The sequence below is a fragment of the Homo sapiens genome, chromosome 14, assembly GCF_000001405.40.
Source record: "Homo sapiens chromosome 14, GRCh38.p14 Primary Assembly".
Taxonomy (NCBI): Eukaryota; Metazoa; Chordata; class Mammalia; order Primates; family Hominidae; genus Homo; species Homo sapiens.
The window spans coordinates 67,695,937-67,717,284 of NC_000014.9; the positions used below are offsets into that span (position 1 = coordinate 67,695,937).

At 38.8% G+C, this 21,348-nt stretch overlaps 2 protein-coding genes and 2 pseudogenes across 3 annotated transcripts in view, besides 2 other annotated features; all 4 read left to right on the forward strand.

Moving 5' to 3' along the window:
* GPHN (gephyrin) overlaps positions 1–21,348 on the forward strand; it is a 1,227,209-nt gene that overhangs the window by 1,187,790 nt on the left and 18,071 nt on the right. The window lies entirely within an intron of this gene.
* Positions 26–75: an enhancer, noted in NCBI's record as "active region_8584". NCBI's record gives its function as "activates an Ori minimal core promoter by ATAC-STARR-seq in GM12878 lymphoblastoid cells {active_cell/tissue: GM12878}" and the evidence as "EXISTENCE:reporter gene assay evidence [ECO:0000049][PMID:35858748]".
* Positions 96–145: an enhancer, noted in NCBI's record as "active region_8585". NCBI's record gives its function as "activates an Ori minimal core promoter by ATAC-STARR-seq in GM12878 lymphoblastoid cells {active_cell/tissue: GM12878}" and the evidence as "EXISTENCE:reporter gene assay evidence [ECO:0000049][PMID:35858748]".
* RDH12 (retinol dehydrogenase 12) overlaps positions 5,950–21,348 on the forward strand; it is a 32,566-nt gene continuing 17,167 nt past the window's right edge. For both annotated transcript variants that reach the window (XM_047430965.1, NM_152443.3), the window contains exon 1: positions 5,950–5,999. The gene's annotated coding sequence lies outside the window, so the exon portion shown is untranslated. The remainder of the gene's footprint in view (positions 6,000–21,348) is intronic.
* Positions 10,018–10,316, forward strand: RN7SL369P (RNA, 7SL, cytoplasmic 369, pseudogene; annotated as a pseudogene).
* RPL21P9 (ribosomal protein L21 pseudogene 9) lies at positions 18,569–19,289 on the forward strand (annotated as a pseudogene).

Here is a 21,348-nt window from a genome sequence, read left to right on the forward strand (position 1 = left end):
TGTGGGATCATTCACCCAGCTCTCAGTTATTTTTTCTGCCTTCTGAATACTCAGTTCTCCCACCTCTAGGCACACATGGTTTCTCACACTCAGATGAAAACACTGCTTTTTATCTTTTTTTCACTACAAGATCCTCTTATCCACATAGAATCTCAATGAAAAGTTGAACCAGAACTGAAAATAGTGCTCATACCCCAGAGGGATTTTTCTGGAAAAAAAAAAGTATACACTATAGGAATAGTACACTTATTCCTATAGTGTACTAGGCACCGCGGTGTTTGTGAAATCTCTGCAGTCCTCTATCTCCCCAGACCCAAGTCCAGTGCCTGGTTCAGTTTTCCCCAATCCTGGTTAGGCAGTTACCGCACTGTTTCTCCTGGAGATCAGATGTTGGCGTCTGGGAAATGAAAGGCGGATTAGACAGGAGAGGAGCGGTCCGAAGTCTGACAGTTGGGAAGGTGGGGGAATGTAAACCCTTCCTCCTCGAGGATTCCTTTTTCCAGAGAAGAGGAAGCAATAAGTCCTTGAAGACATTCTCAGGAGAATCACTTTATTGTGTCTATCTTGAATTATGGTGGCAACTATCATGATTTTTCTAGTGTTTGAGTGTTCATTGATAATAGAATATCGTCTTCCTGATGGCTTGGGTCACATACATTAACTCCCAGGGTAGCAATGAATATCTCAGATTGGCACAGTTGGTTTTGCCAACTCGTGAAAGTATTTAATCCTGTCTTGAATTAAGGCCATGAATATGTTCTCTGTGAATAAATAGGTTCCCTGTTCAATAGTTTCTTTCATCTGAGGCCTATTTCCTGGGGGTGAAAGTGGAGGGTGTTTTAACCAATCAATATCTGTCTGTGATTCCTTAATTGTACCCAGTAATATTTTCTGGTCCTTTTGCATAATTTCCATTTGGTTAAAAGACACGGGTTCCAATGAACTAATATATTTTATAGCAAATTGGAGAAGAGAGGGTTTCCTTCACACAATACTAATTCCTACCAATTTAACATTAGATTACCTAGCAATCATCACATTTTGTCACATTCTCATTATTGTGTTACCTAATATTTGTATTGGGTTTTATAACTTTATAAAAGCCTTTCATTTGTTTTGTTCCTTATTCAGTCATTCACGCATTTGACAAACATTTATGGCATTCCTATAGTGTACTAGGCACTGTGCTGATGTCCAGCAGGAAGCCAGGAACACATAATCTCTGCTCGCCCGGAGTTCATGGACTGTCAGAGAAGACCTTAAATAAGTAATCACTGTAAATAAATCATGGTGAAGGTTATGAGGAGGATTAGAGAAAGCTCTGGGAGCTTTTACAAGGGAGAGGAGTTCTAGATCAGGAGAGGCTTATTTGAGGAAATAACATTTGAGCGGAGGCCAGAGGGAAGTTAGTAGGCAAGCAACATAGACAAGAGTGTGCTGAGCAGAGGAAAGACCCCACCTGAGGGTTCACAGTCAGAGAAAGCAGGGTGCACTAGAGCAACAGAAAACCGTCTAGGGAGAAGGGAGAGTGCCAGAAATGGCAATAATAGCCAGTGCTTAAATACTGCTTAATTATGGCCAGGCCCTGTCCCAATGATTTATATATATATATTAACTCTTAATTCCCATAACAACTCTAAGAGGTAGGTACTATAATTTTCCCTATTTTACAGACAAGAAAACTGAGGCACCGTGTAAGCTAGCCTAGGTCAAAGAGGCAGAGCTGGGATTCAAACTGAAGCAGGTGGTGTTCCATGAGAGGGCCCTATATGCAAAGTGGCCCCCAAATGCCAGAGGAGCCAAGACACCAAAGGTTGAGGCAGACAAATCCAGTTTCTTGGTAAGGGTGTTTTACTGTGGGAATTTACAGACAGAAATGTGGGCTTGGGTGGCAGATTTCTGTACATGTAAGCTCCACACTCAGAGTTTATATACTGTAGGGAAAGAGTCAAACTGCTCTGTGCAAGACAATTAAAGGTAGCCCTCCAGAACAGGCAAGAATGCTACATGTGTAATAGATAATAATTTGTGCAATAACATCAAGGTTGACATGTTCTTACACTAGGGACAGTAAATAAAGTAGGAATCAGGAGATATTCACAGGACTGGGGCTAATCAACATTGCAGTCAACATTGAAGTCAGCATTGCAGATTAGCATCCCAGATGCAGTCACTTTTGTCCACCAAGTTGTATGCAGGGTCTATTGTGCCCTTAACTATTGAGCTATATTGCCAAAAGATGAAGCTGGAAATTTCTCCCCATACTTGTGTGTATTTGCATATCCATATAAAATTTGCATATAATTTCAGGTGGTTTATAGACACATTGGAGCCATAATGGAATCTAGATTAAAAACCATTGATTATCTCTACTAAAAAATTAGCTAGGCATGGTGGTACACATCTGTAGTCCCAGCTCTTTGGGAGGCTGAGGTGGGAGGATTGTTTGAGTCAGGAGTTGGAGGCTGCAGTGAGCTAGAATTGTGCCACTGCACTCCACCCTGGGTGGCAGAGCAAAAACCTATCTAAAAGCAGAGGGAAGCTTTGAGGAACCCTAACATTATGAAATGGGTAGAGGGAGGGGAGCCCAAAAATTGACTGAGAAACGGCCAGAGAGGTTGGAGATGTATCAGACAGGGTTCAATCAGAAGTGAGAAACTACACAACAATTTGAACAGGGAAAGTTTAACATAAAAAAATTATTAACTATAATGGGATTGGAATAATGAGGGACTGGATAGTATAGGAGCTGTTATACTTCTCCTGAAAAGAAAAATAAATATTTTATGCTCTGAGGAGGATTTGGTCTCTGTTGCAGCTACTCGACTCTGCTGTTGTAAATGTGAAAGCAGCCATAGATAATATTTGAACAAATGTGTTCAAATGTTACTGTGTTTACTGTTCAAATGTTACTGTGTTCCAATGAAACTTTATTTACAAAAACAAACAGTGGGCTGCATTTGGCCTGTGGGTCATGGTTTGCCAACCTGTGTGCTAGTAAGAAGAAAAGAGAACTCTAAAGAAGATAAAAGGGCCAGGCATGTTGGCTCATGCCTGTAATCCCAGCACTTTGGGAGGCCGAAATGGATGGATCACCTGAGGTCAGGAGTTTGAGACCAGCCTGCCCAACATGATGAAACCCCATCTCTACTAAAAATACAAAAAAATTAGCTGGGCATGGTGGCAGGCACCTGTAATCCCAGCTACTTGGGAGGCTGAGGCAGGAGAATCACTTGAACCCGGGAGGCAGAGGTTTCAATGAGCCAAGTTCGCGCCATTGCACTACAGCCTGGGCGACAAGAGCGAGACTCTATCTCAGAAAAAAAAAAAAGATAAAAGGCTGGATGTGGTGGCTCATCCCTGTAATCCCAACACTGGAAGGCCAAGGCGGGAGGATCACTTGAGCCCAGAAGTTCGAGACCAGCCTGGGAAACCTAATGAGTCCCTGTCTCAACCAAAAATTTAAAAAATAAATGAATAAATAAACAAAAAATAAATAAATAAAATAGGCAGTGTACTGGTGTGTGCCTTTGGTCCCAGCTACTCCGGAGGTTCAGGTGGGAGGATTTCTTGAGCCTCACAGGTTGAGGCTGCAGTGAGCTGTGATTGTGCCACTGCACTCCAACCTGGAAGACAGAGCAAGACCCTATCTCAAAAAAAAAAAAAAAAAAAAAAAGAAACAGAGAGAGAAAGAAAGAAAGTTATGTGGATGTAAAAAATCTTCACCTTTTTAAAGCTTTTTTTTTTAAAGTGATCAAAACACAGTAAGTCACAGGAATTACCTTGATAAAACATTAAGAAAAATTTTAGGATAGTTACTAAAAAGTAAAGAAAAACCTTTTGTAATATGATTGTTTTTCTTTATTGGAACTCTATTTAGATAACCTGGAAGACAAACTCAATGAAAAGAATACTTGGATTTAGGCTGGGCGCGGTGGCTCACGCCTGTACTTCCAGCACTTTGGGAGGCCGAGGTGGGCGGATCATGAGGTCAAGACATCGAGACCATCCTGGCCAACATGGTGAAACCCCGTCTCTACTAAAAATACAAAAATCAGCTGGGCGTGGTGGTGCGCACCTGTAGTCCCAGCTCCTTGGGAGATGGAGGCAGGAGAATCGCTTGAACCTGGGAGGCGGAGGTTGCAGTGAGCTGAGATGATGCCACTGTACTGCAGCCTGGAGACAGAGCGAGAAAAAAAAAAAGGATACTTGGATTTAATTAAAATACAGGAAGAGTGTGTCCAGAGTTATGAGTGTACACTATATTTTTGAGGAAAGTAAACAAGGAAACTTGTATCTTAAGCAGGACAATAAATATGTCTCAGTAACAGCATCAAAAGTGCCCTGGTTATAGGAAATAATTTAGCTATATCGAGAAAAGCCAAGACTACAGAATCAAGTTATATTGGAGGAAAATGGTTTTGTTCCAGAGCTTTAAGATAAACATTTTAGCATCAGGCCACACCAGAGTTAGAACCAGAGAAAAAGATTACAGAAGGCCGGGCACAGTAGCTCACGCCTGTAATCCCAGCACTTTGGGAGGCCGAGGTGGGCAGATCACGAGGTCAGGAGATCGAGACCATCCTGGCTAACACGATGAAACCCCGTCTCTACTAAAAATACAAAAAATTAGCCGGGCGTGGTGGCGGGCGCCTGTAGTCCCAGCTACTCGGGAGGCTGAGGCAGGAGAATGGCGTGAACCTGGGAGGCGGAGCTTGCAGTGAGCCTAGATCGCGGCACTGCACTCCAGCCTGGGTGACACAGCAAGACTCCATCTCAAAAAAAAAAAAAAAAATTACAGAAGTTGGCTGGGCATGGTGACTCATGCCTGCAATCCCAGCACTTCGGGAGGCCGAGGCGGGTGGATCAGCTGAGGTCAGGAGTTTAAGACCAGGCTGGCTAGAATGATGAAACTCTGTCTCTACTAAAAATACAAAAATTAGCTGGGCACGGCGGCGAATGCCTCTAATCCCAGCTACTCGGAGGCTGAGGCAGGAGAATCACTTGAACCTGGGAGGCGGAGGTTGCAGTAAGCGGAGATCTTGCCACTGCACTCCAGCCTGGGTGACAAGAGCAAAATTTCATCTCAAAAAAAAAAAAAAAAAAAAAAGTCAAAGATTACAGAAGTTGACAAAAAGGTTGAAGGAGAGGATTATCATTTCAACCAAGAAAAACATGTATCTTTTTAAGGGTATAAAGAACGAACAACAACGATTCATGACTTGGGAATCATGTGCAGCGAGGTATAGCACAAGTAGAATTTTTTGAGATATAAATTTGAGAAGTTTTAGAAAAGAAATAGATTGTAGAATTTAAAATCAAAAGCTCTTGTAATTCACTAAGAGCAAATTTATACTTTAAGACAATGTTATTTTAACATAGAGGACCAAAATCTCAATCTTTAGAAACACTTATAACTTTTTTTTGATTATAGCCAACTTAATCACATATACATTTAAAAAAATTTTAAAGAACTTTATTATAATTTCTTTTTTTTTTTTTTTTTTTTTTGAGATGGAGTCTGTTGCCCAGGCTGGAGTACAGTGTCACTATCTTGGCTCACTGCAAACTCCGCATTCCAGGTTCAAGTGATTCTCCCGCCTCAGCCTCCCGAGTAGCTGGGACTACAGGCATGCGCCACCATACCTGGCTACTTTTTGTATTTTTAGTAGAGATGAGGTTTCACCATTTTGGCTGTGCTGGTCTCGAACTCCTGACCTTGTGATCCGCCCACTTCAGCCTCCCAAAGTGCTGGGATTACAGGCATGAGTCACCACGCCAGGCCTATTATGATTTCTGTAGACTATTTATGACATGTTTGAACTTTTGTTTTGCCCTACCCTTTCTCTTTTATAATTAACCTGTCATTTTGCTTTAGGAAAATAATTTACCATGTAATAAATTATTATCATGCAGTGGCATGATCAGCTCATCGTAACCTCAACTCCTGGGCACAAGCAATCCTCCCTTCTCAGCTTCCTGAGTGGCCAGGACTACAGGTAAGTGCCACCATGCCAGACTAATTTTCAAAATTTTTGTAGAGACAGTATCTCACTGTGTTGTAGAGACAGTGTCTCACTATGTTGCTTAGGCTTGTCTTGAACTCCTGATCTCAAATGATCCACCTGCCTTGGCCTCCTAAAGCATTAGGATAACAGTCATGAACCACTGTGCCCAGCTTTTTTAAAAATTTAATATATATATATTTTTTAAATGGAGATGAGATCTCATTATGTTGCCCAGGCTGGTCTCAAACTCCTGAGCTCAAGTGATTCTCCCACCTTAGGGTCCCAAAGTGCTAGGATTACACACATGAGCCACCATGCCTGGCCTGTGCTCAGTTTTTTAAGTTTTTTTCTATTAACCATTTTTATAGCCTGTGAATGTCAGATATTTACCTAAGCAAGAAATTTAAAGTTAAATACATGGGTATTTTGTTGATAACTCAGAAGGTTTAGCTGTATTTCTTAAACCAACAATATTAAATTAGTCTTACTTATAAAAAAAATCACACAAAGATTATTTTGGTTTTGGCTGGGTTCATAGTTTTTTACCTTTGTGCCAAATCCTGACCCTGTAAAATATTTAATAAGACAAGTATAAATCTGACCATAAATCTAGGCAAATATGTATGTTGACAATTTTGAAGACATTTTAATATTTATTTTACTAATAATTTTAAAGCCAGTTTATTTATTAAAGAATTACTTAAGTCATGTGAACTTGGAAAACCTTTGGGCTTACTAATTTATGAGTGCTCATTTATCTATAAGTCAATTGGGTATCATGTAGATACAACATATAACATATTACATGTATATATGTAAACACATCTAAACACACATATATATGCACAAATAGAGATCTTATACCTTTATTTTTTGATTTGTCTTTTGAAACAGGGCCTCACTCTGTTGCCCAGGGTAGAGAGCAGTGGTATGACCATGGCTCACTGCAGCCTGGACCTCCCAGGCTCAAGTGATTCTCCCACCTCAGCCTCCTGAGTACCTGGGACTACAGGTGCGTGCCGCCATGCCCAGCTAACTTAAAAAAGTTTTTTTTTTGTAGAGTCAGAGTCTCACTATGTTGCCAGGGCTGGTCTTGAGCTCCTGGGCGCAAATGATCCTCCTACCTTGGCCTCCCAAAGTGCTGGGACTGCTGGCATGAGTCACCTCATCTGGCCCTTATAGTTTTCATTTTAGAATTTTAGTCATGAGATAGTAATACAAACTCACCAGTTTATAAAAGATAGTTGGATCTAAATTATTTTTGGAAAAAATTGGGACCTGTTAGTTCACATGGCTAAATTTTATTTGTCCCAATAGGTAATCTAATGAAGGCTGTGAGCCAAAATTTTTGGGTAAGGTAGTTCGATGGCAGTTTTATTTTAAAAATCTTTTATCCTTTTATTCAGTTTCAAATGAGTTTAGAGTTAGGTTTTTAATGTTAACATTTTAGCTTGAACTGGCTGAATCGTATAAGAAAAACAAAATTTCTAAGTCTTCTTAAGTTAGTAATACTATAAACAGTGAGCTTTATCTCAACACAAGTAGAAAAGTCAGTAGTTTCAAAGTAGGCAGAAAAAATATATAGAGGTAGACAGAGAACTTAGACGATCCTACATGTTAACTCTGTAGTTCTGGGTGGACCACTTGAGTTCTAATCTGTCTATTATTTTAAGATGTGCACAACAATGGGCCATAATATGTATCTAGCTGGAGTCTCAGAAAACCCAGTATGTCTTTTTTTATTTTTCCGAGACAGAGTTTCACTCTGTTGCCCAGGCTGGAGTGCAGTGGCATGATCACAGCTCATTGCAACCTCTCTCTCCTGGTCTCAAGTGATCCCCCAACTTCAGCCTCCCTAATAGCTGGGACTACAGGTGCATACCACCGTGCCTGGCTAATTTTTGCATTTTTTGGGTAGAGATGGGGTTTTGCCATGTTGCCCAGGCTGGTCTCAAACTCCTAGACTCAAGTGTTCTTCCCACCTCAGCATCCCAAAGTGCTGGGATTACAGGCGTGAGCCACTGTGCTTGGCCTGGCATGTCTTAATGTTTGAGAATCTCATTTTTAAAATATTAATCTCTCAGTTTAGAAAAACTGTTGGATTCGTATTTTTATGATCTCAGTAGTTCTATTTTCATTCTGCAGTTGTTTTGTTTGTTCCCCTTGTTTTAAATTTAAATATATTTCCCCCTTTTGAGGGAAGGAAATGTGTGTATTGTGAAATTCTAAAAAATCTGTGCCTAAGAGGTGTATGGGAGCCAGGAGAACAAACAGGAAGAGCTGAGTTCTGATTACGGGGGTAGAAGGAGGAGGAGCAGCTAGAGGCAAAAAGGAGAAAGCCTCCTAAATCATTAAAATTTTCAAATCGTTTCACATATCTTTTTTACCTCTTGAATTGAGGCATTTTTAAAATAATTTTTTTAGAAGCTTGTAGGTGTTATTGGAAGTAAATCTTCCATTCAATTTGTCTGTATCTAAAACCAGCTTTTTTTCAACTGTGTGTGCAAATAAATTATCTTAGGCATTTTCGGAACAGCTCCATTTTGGCCACTGCTGCTTATAACCACCCTGGGTTAGGGGATCTACTGCTTATCTAGGCACTTGCAAGTGGAAGGATGGTAAGTATTATACCTAAAACTCAGCAGGTGTCTTAGAGTGCACTTCCCATTTTAGCTTTGTGTGAGGACAAGTTATGGAGTAGAGTAAGAGTGCCCTCATGCGACTGGAAAAGGAAAAAGCTAAGGAAAGGTCTCACCCCAAATCACCAGGGAAACAATTTACAAAGCTTCTATTTTACCCTGCCCTAGTATTTAACAAAAGCCCTTATCTTGAATTCATAGCAGCAGCTCTCGTTCTGAGACAGTCATTGTACCACGTAGCCAAGGAGGAAACCAGCTTTAATAAACCAGAACATCAACCAAGACAGGAACTTCATTGATTTCAGGAGGAACTCATCTGTAGCACTCAGCAGGGGCATCTAAGTCCAGGAACACAATGGATTTTGTGCTGGCACATGCACAAAGGTTGGAAGCAGGTCTAGGTAGTCCAGGGAGGTCACTCTGAAATCCTGTCAGCTATGCCATTTTGTTGATGGAAATTAAGGCTGTTGAGGCAGAAATAAATTGATAAAGGTTTATTGGAAGCCAAATGTGAGGATCAATCTGGGAAGACACGCCAATAAAGCTGGGTGTATTCCAAAGTCTGTCGTTAGAAGTTGGAATGATTTTATAAGAAAGTTTAGAAGAAGGGATGGAGACTCTTCATACTGGAGTTGTCCTTTTTCATTGAATGGCACAATACAGAGGTTACAGTCCTTGGCTACAGATGACAACATACAAGTTAAAATGTCCATGTTTAAGACAATCAGTAACACTTCATGATTCAGAAACAAATCAGTGTCCTTTTCAGTGTCAGTAGGTTACATATTAATGTGTACGTCAACAGTTTGAGAAATTTTCAATAAGATTTGAGAGACTCATCGTAAGATTCTTTACTCAGAAATGCTATGTAAGCCATGAATCATAAGACTTGCCCCAGGTAGGCTAATTTGGAAGACTGCCAAACGTGACCTGTAGGTTATCACAACTAAATGCAATGTGGGGTCCTGAATTCAATCCTGGACCAGAAATAGGACATTAGTGAGAAAACTGGTGAAATTAGAATAAAGCCATTAGTTTAGTTAGTGGTGTTGTACCAATGTTAATTTCCTGGTTTTGATCATTGTTCTAAGGTTATTTAAAATGTTGACATTTGGGGAAGCTGAGTGAAAAGTATGCAGGAATTTTTTGTATTATTTTTGCAATTTTTTGTAATATTTCAAAATAAGATGTTTTAAAAGACACATTTGATCAACCATGACAGAGGAAAGGCTGAATTATCTTTTTATTTTCCCTAGGGAAAATGATATTTACAAAATAATTTTTATAGGAGGAGGCACTCAAAAAGTATACAGCCAAAAATATAAGAAAAAAATATCATTAACTATGTCAAGCAGTTAATTAGTAAAGATATCAGGTGCAGTGGCATGTGCCTATAGTTCCAGTTACTTGGGAGGATGAGGTAGAAAGATCCCTTTAGCCTAGACGTTCTGGGCTTGTAGTGTATTGTGCCAATCAGGTGTCCACATTAAGTTCAGCATCAATATAGTGACCTCCTGGGAGCAGGGGACCACCAGGTTACCTAAGAAGGAGAGAACTGGCCCAGGTCAGAAACAGAGCAAGTCAAAATACAGGCGCTGATCAGTCGCAAGATAGTGCCTATGAACAGCCACTACACTCCAGCCTGGGCAACATAGCAATGCACGTCTCTAATTTTAAAAATAAAATAAAAATATAATGTCATTTTCTGGATTTTGTGATATTTGTAGTGTGAACCCAGAAAATTTGTGACAGGTCTCAGTTAATTTAGAAAGTTTATTTTCCAAGGTTGAGGACGTGTCCCCACGACACAGCCTTCGGAGGGCCTGACAACATATGTCCAAGGTGGTCAGAACACAGTTTGGTTTTATACATTCTAGGGAGACACGGGACATCAATCAACATATGGAAAATGAACATCGGTTTGGTCTGGAAAGGAGGGACAGCTCGAAGCATGGAATGGGCTTCCAGGTCACAGGAAGATGAGACACAAACAGGGGCATTCTTTTGAGTTTCTGTTTAGCCTTTTCAAAGGAGGCAATCAGATACGCATTTATCTTAGTGAGCAGAGGGATGACTTTGAATAGAATGGGAAGCAGGTTTGCCCTAAACAGTTCCCAGCTTGAATTTTCCCTTTGGCTTTGTGATTTTGGGGGCCGAGATCTTTTCCTTTCACATTTTCTCCACCCTTTAAAAAAAATCTTCTGGAGAAAGCATTTTAGAAGAAAATGAGTCTCTGGTCCCAGCTTTTTTCTAATCTCTCTTGGTTAGGATGGTTCGTTCCTAGACAGGTAGGTCCTAAGTTATTAGCAAAGCTCATTTTTAGAAGGTTGTGAAGTCTCATGTCCTATGCAGAGAAATTAGGGGGAGGAAGGGATACAAACAACAATAAACAAAAGAAAAATCCTGGAAAATTGATATAGGCCACATTACTCTGTAGTCCATACATCAGTAGGCAGGTATGAAAGCGGTTTATGTATGTAAATAGGTTGCTGTTATTTTCTTCTGAAGTTTAAGTTGTCTAGCTTCAGTTTGCAGAGCTTTACGAAAGCACAACTTAGTTTTTTAGTGACTCCAAATTAGGAAAAATGGGGAAAAAAGAAGGAAAACAATTGAAAACATTATTTTGAAGACTTGTAGCCAACAAAAATTAGAATTCAGTCCAAACTGTAGAAAACAATAAAAATTGCAAAACATTAGGCAAGACTAAAATCTAACAATAGGTGTACTACACTTTTTGAAACAATCTTTTCTCTCTCCAGTTTCCCATTTTTACTAAAGACAAATTATGGTAGGACTTGTTTGCTTTATTATACTTGGCCTAATTATTTGTATACAGAGCAGCAAGAATATATATATATTTTTTGAGATGGAGTCTCACTCTGCTGCCCAGGCTGGAGTGCAGTGGCGTGATCTCAGCTCACTGCAACCTCCACCTCCTGGGTTCAAGTGATTCTCCTGCCTCAGCTTCCCAAGTAGCTGGGATTACAGGTATGTGCTTTCACACCCAGCTAATTTTTATATTTTTAGTAGAGATGGGATTTCACCATGTTGGCCAGGCTGGTAAGAATAATTATTTTTTACATAGGCTTTTAAATTGGCTTTGATGAAACTGTGTTCTGTAGAAAGAATCTCAGATAAGACTTCTTTAAAGCTGAGCCCAGCCGTGGATTTGTGCTATCAAATACCTATGAATTGAGTTAACCTCTCCTCTTGAGGTTCCAAGGTAAACTTGGGGCTCCTGGGCCTGTCAGAAAGTGACATTCTTTACCTACCACAGATCAGGAACCCTGTACAGGGGCTGTGTAGATAAAGGTAAGAGGCCAATTTTTCCAAGGGGCTATCTTGGTTCCAGAAGTCAAGTTTGATTCCAAGGGAAAGCACACCATTCCAGTCAAAGTCTTGATAAAATAACCAGTTTCTCCAATTGTGTCCTGTTACAAATGGAAACAGATTCTTACTGCACTTACGTAAATAGCTGTATTGTTATAAGTTACAAATACTCACAAATAATTTCCAAATTCTGGAGAAATTAGGCAGAGAGACACAAATATGCCCCAAGTTTTGTTCATGGGAGTATACTTTAGTCAATTGCTAAAAGCTGTAAATAGCTTAAAAGAAAAGTTTTCTTGACTCTGAAAAACAAAAAAAAGGATCAGCAACGTTTTAAGCAAAAAGTTAAAAATATTACTTTAGTCTTCTATCAGTTTAGTTTATGCAGTTAATCCTGTTCTGCTTGATATTCGTGAACACTTCAGCTCTCCATGAGAGTCCTGAAAGTTTTTTCCTCTATTCTAAGGTTACAATCTCCAAAGTTATCAGAAACCTGCATTTAAGAACACCTGTTAGAGTTCTATAGCTGATTATAAAACCACCTTCTAAGGAGGACCAAAACAAGACAACAATTGTCTGTGGATGATGAAAGGTTTTAGGGCAGCCATAAAGAAACAATTGACAAGGAAATTTGTTATCTCTGTGGCATATGATAATTTAACATAACAATTATAATTATTACTGATAATGTACACTAAGTCATACCAAAATTACAGGAGTTTCCCATGATTTTGGAACACATACCAGTAACATATTTATACAAATACAGCCCAAAGAAAACCAAACACCATTTCATATTTGACTATGCTTCCTGTATAATTTTTATACCAAATAAGCCAAATATGTCATTTTCGGACTCTAGGGAACCTATTAATAATACCTTTTTTTTTTTTTTTTTGAGAGGGAGTCTCATTCTGTCGCCAAGCTGGAGTGCAGTGGTGCAATCTTGGCTCACGGCAACCTCTGCCCCTCAGGTTCAAGTGATTCTCCTGCCTCAGCCTCACGAGTAGCTGGGACTACAGGCATGCGCCACCACACCCAGCTAATTTTTGTATTTTTAGTAAAGATGGGGTTTCACCACGTTGGCCAGGATGGTCTCGATCTTTTGACCTCATGATCCGCTGGCCTTGGCTTCCCAAAGTGCTGGGATTACAGGTGTGAGCCACTGTGCCAGGCCCAACAATATCTTAAAGGATTAATTAGGTCAGAAAAAGACATAATTTATAGTTTGATTTTGGAAAGTTTGTCAAATATCAAAGGTTTAAAACACTTGATATCACAAAATAGAATTAATAGGTCATTGTGAAATAAGTTATTCATTTAACCAAAGTGATAACTCAAGGATTTCCCCAAAAAAGGTGAAAACCTTCATTCTTTGAGAGAGGAGACTTAATTTTCCAAACAATAAGCCCTAATAAAAACAGCATGAAGCCAATTAAATTCATTTTTCAAAATTTTATAAACAATCTATAACATTTTAATCTTGACCATAAGATATAACTTTCATAAGCCTTTCATAACCTTTATAACCTTTAGGAGTTGGTTAATGCTTCAAGAAAACCTTGTTAATCTGACACAGGGGCCCATATGCTGGTCTTGCATCAGTGTGCCTTTGACATTAATGATTAACATGTAGAGAAACAGAACTTGTTTTATCTCTTAAAATTGGCCCTCACAATCTCACATGCCCATCTCTTCTGTGATAGTCCCTGGGCCTTGAGGAGTTTAATAGCTTTAATTTCTGGCCCTGTGTTTCAGGAATACAGTTTATTTTGATTGGCATCTTCTACCAGGCCTGAAGATGGGGGGCTTTAATGGCTGTCAGTGTTTAAAAAATTAGCAGGACTTTGATGTCCTTTTTAGACCAAGGCATCAAAGCCCTGTAACTCAATGTCACAAGTACTTTAAAAGAGCATAAAGAGTGTGAAAGGAAATATCTTGGGCCCCCAAAATCACTAAGGAAATCTCAAGCTGGAAACTGCTTAGGGCAAACCTGCCTTCCATTCTATTTAGTCACTCCTCTGCTCACTGAGATAGATACATATCTAATTTGCCTCCTTTGGAAAGGCTAATCAGAAACTCAAAAGAATGTAACCGTTTGTTTACTATCTATTTGTGACCTGGAAGCTCCCTCCCCACTTAGAGTCTTCCTGCCTTTGTTTTAAGTTGTTCCACCTTTCCAGACTGAACCAATGTACTTCTTACATATATTGATTGATGTCTCATGTCTCCCTAAATGTATAAAACCAAGCTGTTCCCTGACCACTTTGGGTACATGTCATCAGGACTTCCTGAGGCTGTGTCATGGGCTCGTCCTCAAACTTGGCAAAATAAACTTTCTAAATTAACTGAGACCTGTCTGAGATTTTCTGGGTTCACAAGAGAGATACACAGATGTAGTAACCTTAATTTAAAAAAAGTTTTAATCTTTTTTTCCTAAGCAAACCAAAACTTAATAATAATATGACAACTTGATCATATAAAAGTTTTTGGTTTTGTTTGTTTTATAAATCCGCTTATTGTGACTTACATAGACCTTTTGTGACATGCTTGGACTTTCCAGTTTGTCTTGAACATCCCTCCTTCTTAAATAACCAGTCATGTCATTTTACTCTAGGACTAAATTTACCACACAATATTCTTTTTCATATGAAATTATTTCTCTTTAAGCTTTCTTACAAAAAAAATCTTTATTTTTATAACTTTCTTTACATCTCTTTTATTTCCTGGTTCCTTTTACCTTGTTTTATACATGATCTTTAAATAAGCTTTGAATTAGACAAAAATTTTTCACTTTTTTTTAAAGGACACACTTTTTTTTTTAGAAAGAACGTTTTCCTACAATTATATTTTTATTAGAAAATACCCAAATAATGAAATATCTATTATCTAATTTAATATAACTTTAGATTCTAAATTATGATGAATGTGTCTACAAGTATTTATTCTATTACATTTACCTAATTATTTTATTTTCATTGTTTACCTAGATTATTTATGAAAACTGTGATAGTCATCATTTAAAATTATGGAACCACCATTGCAAAATTATAACTGAGACAGTGAAAAAGATTTAACTTAACTGGCCCCATCTTGCTTTTAACCTTCAAACTGTCCTTGTTCATTCCTGGGCATAGGCCAAACAAATTTTGAGAGGAACTTAGTTTATAGTTTAGCTTTGAAACAAAGACGATAACAAACCTTACTTCCTGTGGACTAGACCACCTAAAGCCACAAAATTAAAGTTATGGTAATCTTACTAAATTTAAGGTTTAGCTATTTTTATTAAACCAATATCAATGTCTTATTTATTAAAGATTACACAAGCAGAGATCATTCTGTTTTGGTCTGAGTTTATAGTTTTCTAATCCCTATGCCAAATTTTGACACCTTATAGTGTTTGGCAGTAATAAGTATGAAATTGCTTGATTAATAAATGCAAACAAAAATGTATGCTGGCAATTCTTAAGACATTTCTAATATTACTTTACCAATAATTTTAAAGCTAGCTTATTTATTAAATATTTTACTTAAGTTACATGAACTTGAAAAAGGATTTGACTAGTCTTCCTTTTTCTGATAAAGTATTTGATGATTTAAGTGCTTTTCTTTTTCTTTAAGCCAATTAATTAGAGCTCTTTTATATATTTTCAGTAGTGAAACATTGTGTACACAACACATAAATGCATTGACATATTAGTCATGCCAATAGAAGTACATCTTATAGATTCATAAAGACCTTTTTTCTTTCCTATCTTAGACTTCCAGATTCTTGATAACCTGTTTCACAACACTAGGCAGTTCTCAGCTAAATAGCCTTAAATTTTCATATTAAAGGAAACAACTCAGGTGAAAAGTCAAATAGCAAAATTTACACCATAAGGTACAAAGAGAAAAAGTCTGATGGTTCTAGAGGGAGATTGAAGATGGATGTCAAATCAAACACAAAATTACAGAAATCTATCATAGGATTGTATAAGGAGACAAATTTTATTTAGATAGGGACTACCTATCTTTTTTTTTGAGACGGAGTTTTGCTCTTGTTGCCCAGGCTGAAGTGCAATGGTGCGATCTAGGCTCACTGCAACCTCCTCCTCCCAGGTTCAAGTGATTCTCCTGCCTCAGCCCCCTGAGTAGTTGGGATTACAGACATGTGCCACCACACCCAGCTAATTTTTGTATTTTTAGTAGAGACACGGTTTCACCATGTTGGCCAGGCTGGTCTTGAACTCCTGACCTCACGTGATCCACACACCTTGACCTCCCAAAGTGTTGGGATTACAGGCGTGAACCACCACACCCGGCCTGGGACTACCTGTCTTTTAACTGGATCTCTGAGCTCTGGGAGGAGCCCACACTGAATCCTGGGTCTCCAAAAAGGGAGAATTATTTTGAGGTTAAACCATGTGATGCTTTTATAGTGCACTTAAAAATTTTGTTGTTGTTGTTTTTTGTTTTTTAATAAAGACATTTCTAAGTGTCTAAGCTACATTCTTCCTTAAAAATCCCAGAGTGGCCTCTGTTGCAATAGCTATTAATGAAGAAAACAGAATTCAGTCAACTGAGAAGAAAAAACTTGCAAAAAAAAAAAAAAAAAAAAAAAAGACAAGGTTTTGGGTGAGAAAAAAACAAAACAAAAACATGAAGGCCTTTTAAATACAAACACACCTTGGATGTTAGCTTTTAATTAAGCTGACTTTTAACCATTGAGCTCATTTTAAAAAATCTTTTAAAATCTCATTACTATATTTCATCTAGGACAAATTGCTGCTATTTCAGAAGTACCAAGTATCAAACCAGAAAGGGTTTGATTTAGGAACCAAACCTAGGCTGTTGTGATAGGGAAAAAAAGAAGGCAGAACTTTAGCTATTGAACTACAGGGTGAGGTGACAGCCATTGCTTTCAGTTGGCAGCTAGCAAAAAGGTGGCCTTGTTATGAAAATAAAGCCCCTTTAGTAATCAAAATAAAAAAATGTTCCCTTCTCTTTTTTTTTTCTTTTGCTGGCCATTTTTCTCCTACACCACCCTTTTTTGTGTGTGGGAATTTAACCACTTCAGAGGACTTATTCCCCATAATTTGGAACTTTCCTTTGGATTTGATCAAGTTGGATAGAATTGATGAAACCCAACAGGAAAAAGACTGAAACAACAATAAAAACAGAAATAAACAATGGCACAACTTATATGATCACTGAGCACTCTAATGGTAAGCAGAAATTAAAACCAGCTTTTTGTTAACTTTAGCCAAGACAAAACCTCAATTCAGCTACATACCTAGGGATGGGTCTCAGGCTGAAAACAACTCTCTACCATCCTAGAAGCAGGAAAAACAAACAAACAAACAAACAAACAAAAAACAAAACAAAAAAAAACCTCATTTTCCCTATTGGAAGTGAGCTCAAACTCCATAAAGGAGTTACCTGCTTTCCATCGTCATGGAAGCAGAAAAACTTGCCTTTCTTGTTGAAAGCAAGTAAAACTCCAAAAAAAAAAAAAAAAAAAAAAAAAAAGAGGGGATGTACAGCAAAATAAGCTTTAGATCTTGACCAAATTTTGGGACATCAGGGATTCTCTGGAGGGGATATTCCCAGACCTCAGCAAATTGTCCTGTTGGTTTGAGCCATAAAGTTAGCTCATGCTGGTACCAGGCACTGATAGGAGATTTGTCAAAGGTCAGGGGCATCTCCATTGAGAATCCTTTTGTGGTTAACAAAATGTAAACCCAGAAAATTTGAGACAGGTCTCAGTTAATTTGTAAAGTTTATTTTGCCAAGGTTGAGGGCGCGTACCCAAGACACAGCCTCAGGAGGTCCTGACGACATGTGTCCAGGATGGTCAGAGCACAGTTTGGTTTTATACATTCTAGGGATACGTGAGACATCAATCAACATATGTAAAATGAACATCGGTTTGGTCTGGAAAGGAGGGACAACTCGAAGCAGGGAGGGGGCTTCCAAGTCACAGGTAGGTGAGAGAAAAACAGCTGCATTCTTTTGAGTTTCTGTTTAGCCTTTTCAAAGAGGCAACCAGATATGCATTTATCTTAATGAGGAGAGGTATGACTTTGAATAGAATGGGAGGCAGGTTTGCCCTAAACAGTTCCCAGCTTGAATTTTCCCTTTAGCTTAGTGATTTTGGGGGCCCAAAATGTTTCCTTTCACAGTAGCAACTATTAGATTTAAAAAAATTGTAATTTCCTATTTACTTTTTTCTTGTAATTAACTTCTTGCTTTACTTTTGAGACAGGGTCTTGCTCCGTCTCCCAGGCTGGAGTGCAGTGGTGTGATCACAGATCCCTGCAGCCTCCACCTTCAGGGCTCAAGTTCTCCTCCTGCCTCAGCCTCTTGAGTAGCAGGGACTGTAGGAGTGCACTCCATGGCCAGCTAATTTTTTTTTCATTTTTTTAGTAGAGCTGAGATCTGATTATGTTGCTCTTGGTCTCAAACTCCTTGCCTCAATAAATCCTCCTGCCTTGGCCTCCCAAAATGCTGGGATTACAGGTGTGAGCCTCTGTGCCCAGCTTTGTTTTATTTTTGTACCTAATATTTACTCATAGTTTTATATTCTTTTTATTAAAAAGAGTTCCCTAGCCTTTCAGAAGGAACTGCCGTCTTCCAGTTATTCTCCAAAATGAGGAACACTAAGGGAAAGAGGAGGGACACCAATATATGTTCTCTAGGCCTTTTAGAAAACATGGAGTTGTTCCTTTGGCCACAACCATGCAAATCTACAAGAAAGGTTATGTTGCAGACATCAAGGGAATGGGAACTGTTCAAAAATGCCCCACACATGTTATCATGGTATTAGGGACTGAAATGGGATATAAGTTGAAAAGAGACTAAGGGATTTTTGAAATTAAATGTTAGGCAATTTTTAAAAATAAAAGAGGGCCAATAAGCCCAGGCCTTACACCTGCACTGTGGTGAGGTGCTCAAGATTGCAGAGGCAAACCTGTGCAAAGCTTCTGCCAACTCAAGGCATTCACTGAATGCCCCACACATGTTACCACGGCAAAACTGGAAGAGCCTATCAACAGTGTTCTTGGACACAAACAAATTAAAGGCAAGATTCTTGCTGAGAGAATTAATGTGTTTATTGAGCATATTAAGCAGTCTAAGGGCCAAGATAACTTCCTGAAGCATGTAAAGGAAAAGGATCAGAAAAAGAAGGAAGCAAAAGAGAAAAGTACCTGAAGTGCCAGCCTTCTCCACTTTGTGAAGCTCACTTTGTGAGAACCAATGGAAAGAAGCCTAAGTTGCTTGGAACCTATTCCCTACGAATTCATAGCATAATAGCCGTTAAAAAATAAAAGGGGGGGAGCCCCCTAAATTGAATAGACTTCAGGCCCTACAATATCCAGATCTACTTCTGATGATGTTTTATTTCATAAGCTGGGCAGTAAGTCATGCTGAGTATTCTTTAAATGATTCTCTATATTATTTGGTTTACTCCAAACAGAAAATAGCAAAACATTTTGTCTAAGAGGCATTTCTTTATCTGTCCTTGTCCTGATGTTGGATGCCTATGACTTCACCGATTGCTGTAAGCCCTTGAGTTGGCAGAAGCTTTGCACAGCTTTGCCCCCTGCCATCCTGAGCACCTCACCACAGTGCAGGCGTAAGGCCTGGGCTTATTGGCCCTCTTTTATTTAAAAAAATTTCCCAACATTTAATTGCAAAAATCCCTTAGTTTCATTTCTACTTTACTCTATTTCAGTCCCCAATGCCAAGTTCGTTCTTTTTGTAAGTATCTTCTGAAGGAGTGACTCACCATTTACTTCTATTGGAATCCAAATTTTGCAATACTCACGAAGTTGCAAATAATTAAATTAGGATATCTTAGAATCTCATAACCAGGGAGAGATTACTGTAAACTCAACCATATTCACCACTATTTATTGCATGTCTGCTTCATGCAAACCTTGGTTCCATGTGCTGGGGGAACACAAATGTAGAGCTTATTTCTGTCCCTGAGCTGATGAGATAAGAAGTTGCCTAGAGGCCGGGGGCAGTGGCTTACGCCTGTAATCCCAGCACTTTGGGAGGCCGAGGCGGGCGGATCACGAGGTCAAGAGATAGAGACCATCCTGGCTAACATGGTGAAACCCCGTCTCTACTAAAAATACAAAAAAAATTAGCCGGGGGTGGTAGCCGGTGCCTGTAGTCCCAGCTACTCTGGAGACTGAGGCAGGAGAATGGCGTGAACCTGGGAGGCGGAGCTTGCAGTGGGCCGAGATCACGCCACTGCACTCCAGCCTGGACGACAGAGTGAGACTCCGTCTCAAAAAAAAAAAAAAGAAAAGAAAAAAGAAATTGCCTAACTAAGTTATAAGTCAAACCGCTGTGACTGCTGTACAGAAAAGGCAAATATAGTGTATGGGAGCAAGAGAAGTGAATGATTGATTAGGATAGGTGAAAGCTGCAGAGAGGAGATATATTTAAGTTGGACCTTAAACACAATAAAAGATTTCTTCAGCTGAAAAAAAATTCCATTTATGTTAGAAAGTTTTTAAAAAAGTGAATATGGCAATTTATAAAAAATTTTCATTTTGAAATGTTACGCTTCTTGATTTTCCATGACAGAAAGTGTGTGTACACACGTGTTTGTGTGTATGTCTGCATGTGTACTTCCATTGCATTTTAATCTGAACATTTTCAAACATTTGTAATAGTTTAAAGAATTTTACAGGCTGAGTGTGGTGGCTCACACTTGTAATCTCAGCACTTTGGGAGGCCAAGGCCAGCATACGACTTGAGGCCAGGAATTCGAGACCAGCCTGGTTAACATGGTGAAACCCCATCTCTACTGAAAATACAAAAATTAGCCAGATGTGGTGGCAGGCACCTGTGGGTCCAGCTATTCAGGAGGCTGAGGCAGGAGAATTGCTTGGGCCCGGGAGGTGGAGTTTGCAGTGAGCCGCTATCACACCACTGCACTCCAGCCTGAGTGACAGAGTGAGTCTCTGTCAAAAAAAAAAAAAAAAGAATTTTAAAATAAATATCCATATATCCATAACCTAGATTCTACATTAACATTTTACTATACCAGTTTTATCACATATATAAAACAAATATAGTGAAATGCCTGTTTTACTTCCTTCTATCAATCTACTTTATTTTATTAACATACTTCAAACTAAATTACAGACATCGGTACCCTTCCCCTTTAAAAACTTCAGCATGTATATATATCATTCATTAACTAGAGTTCAATATTTATTTAGTTTTTTTTCCTTTGGATGTAAAATTTGTATACAGTGAAAGGCACAAGTCTTAAGTATATATTTGCTGTTTTGACAAAGGCATAGACTCATGTAACCCAAAGTCCTGTTGAGAGATAGAACATTTCCATCACCTCAGAAAGCCACTCA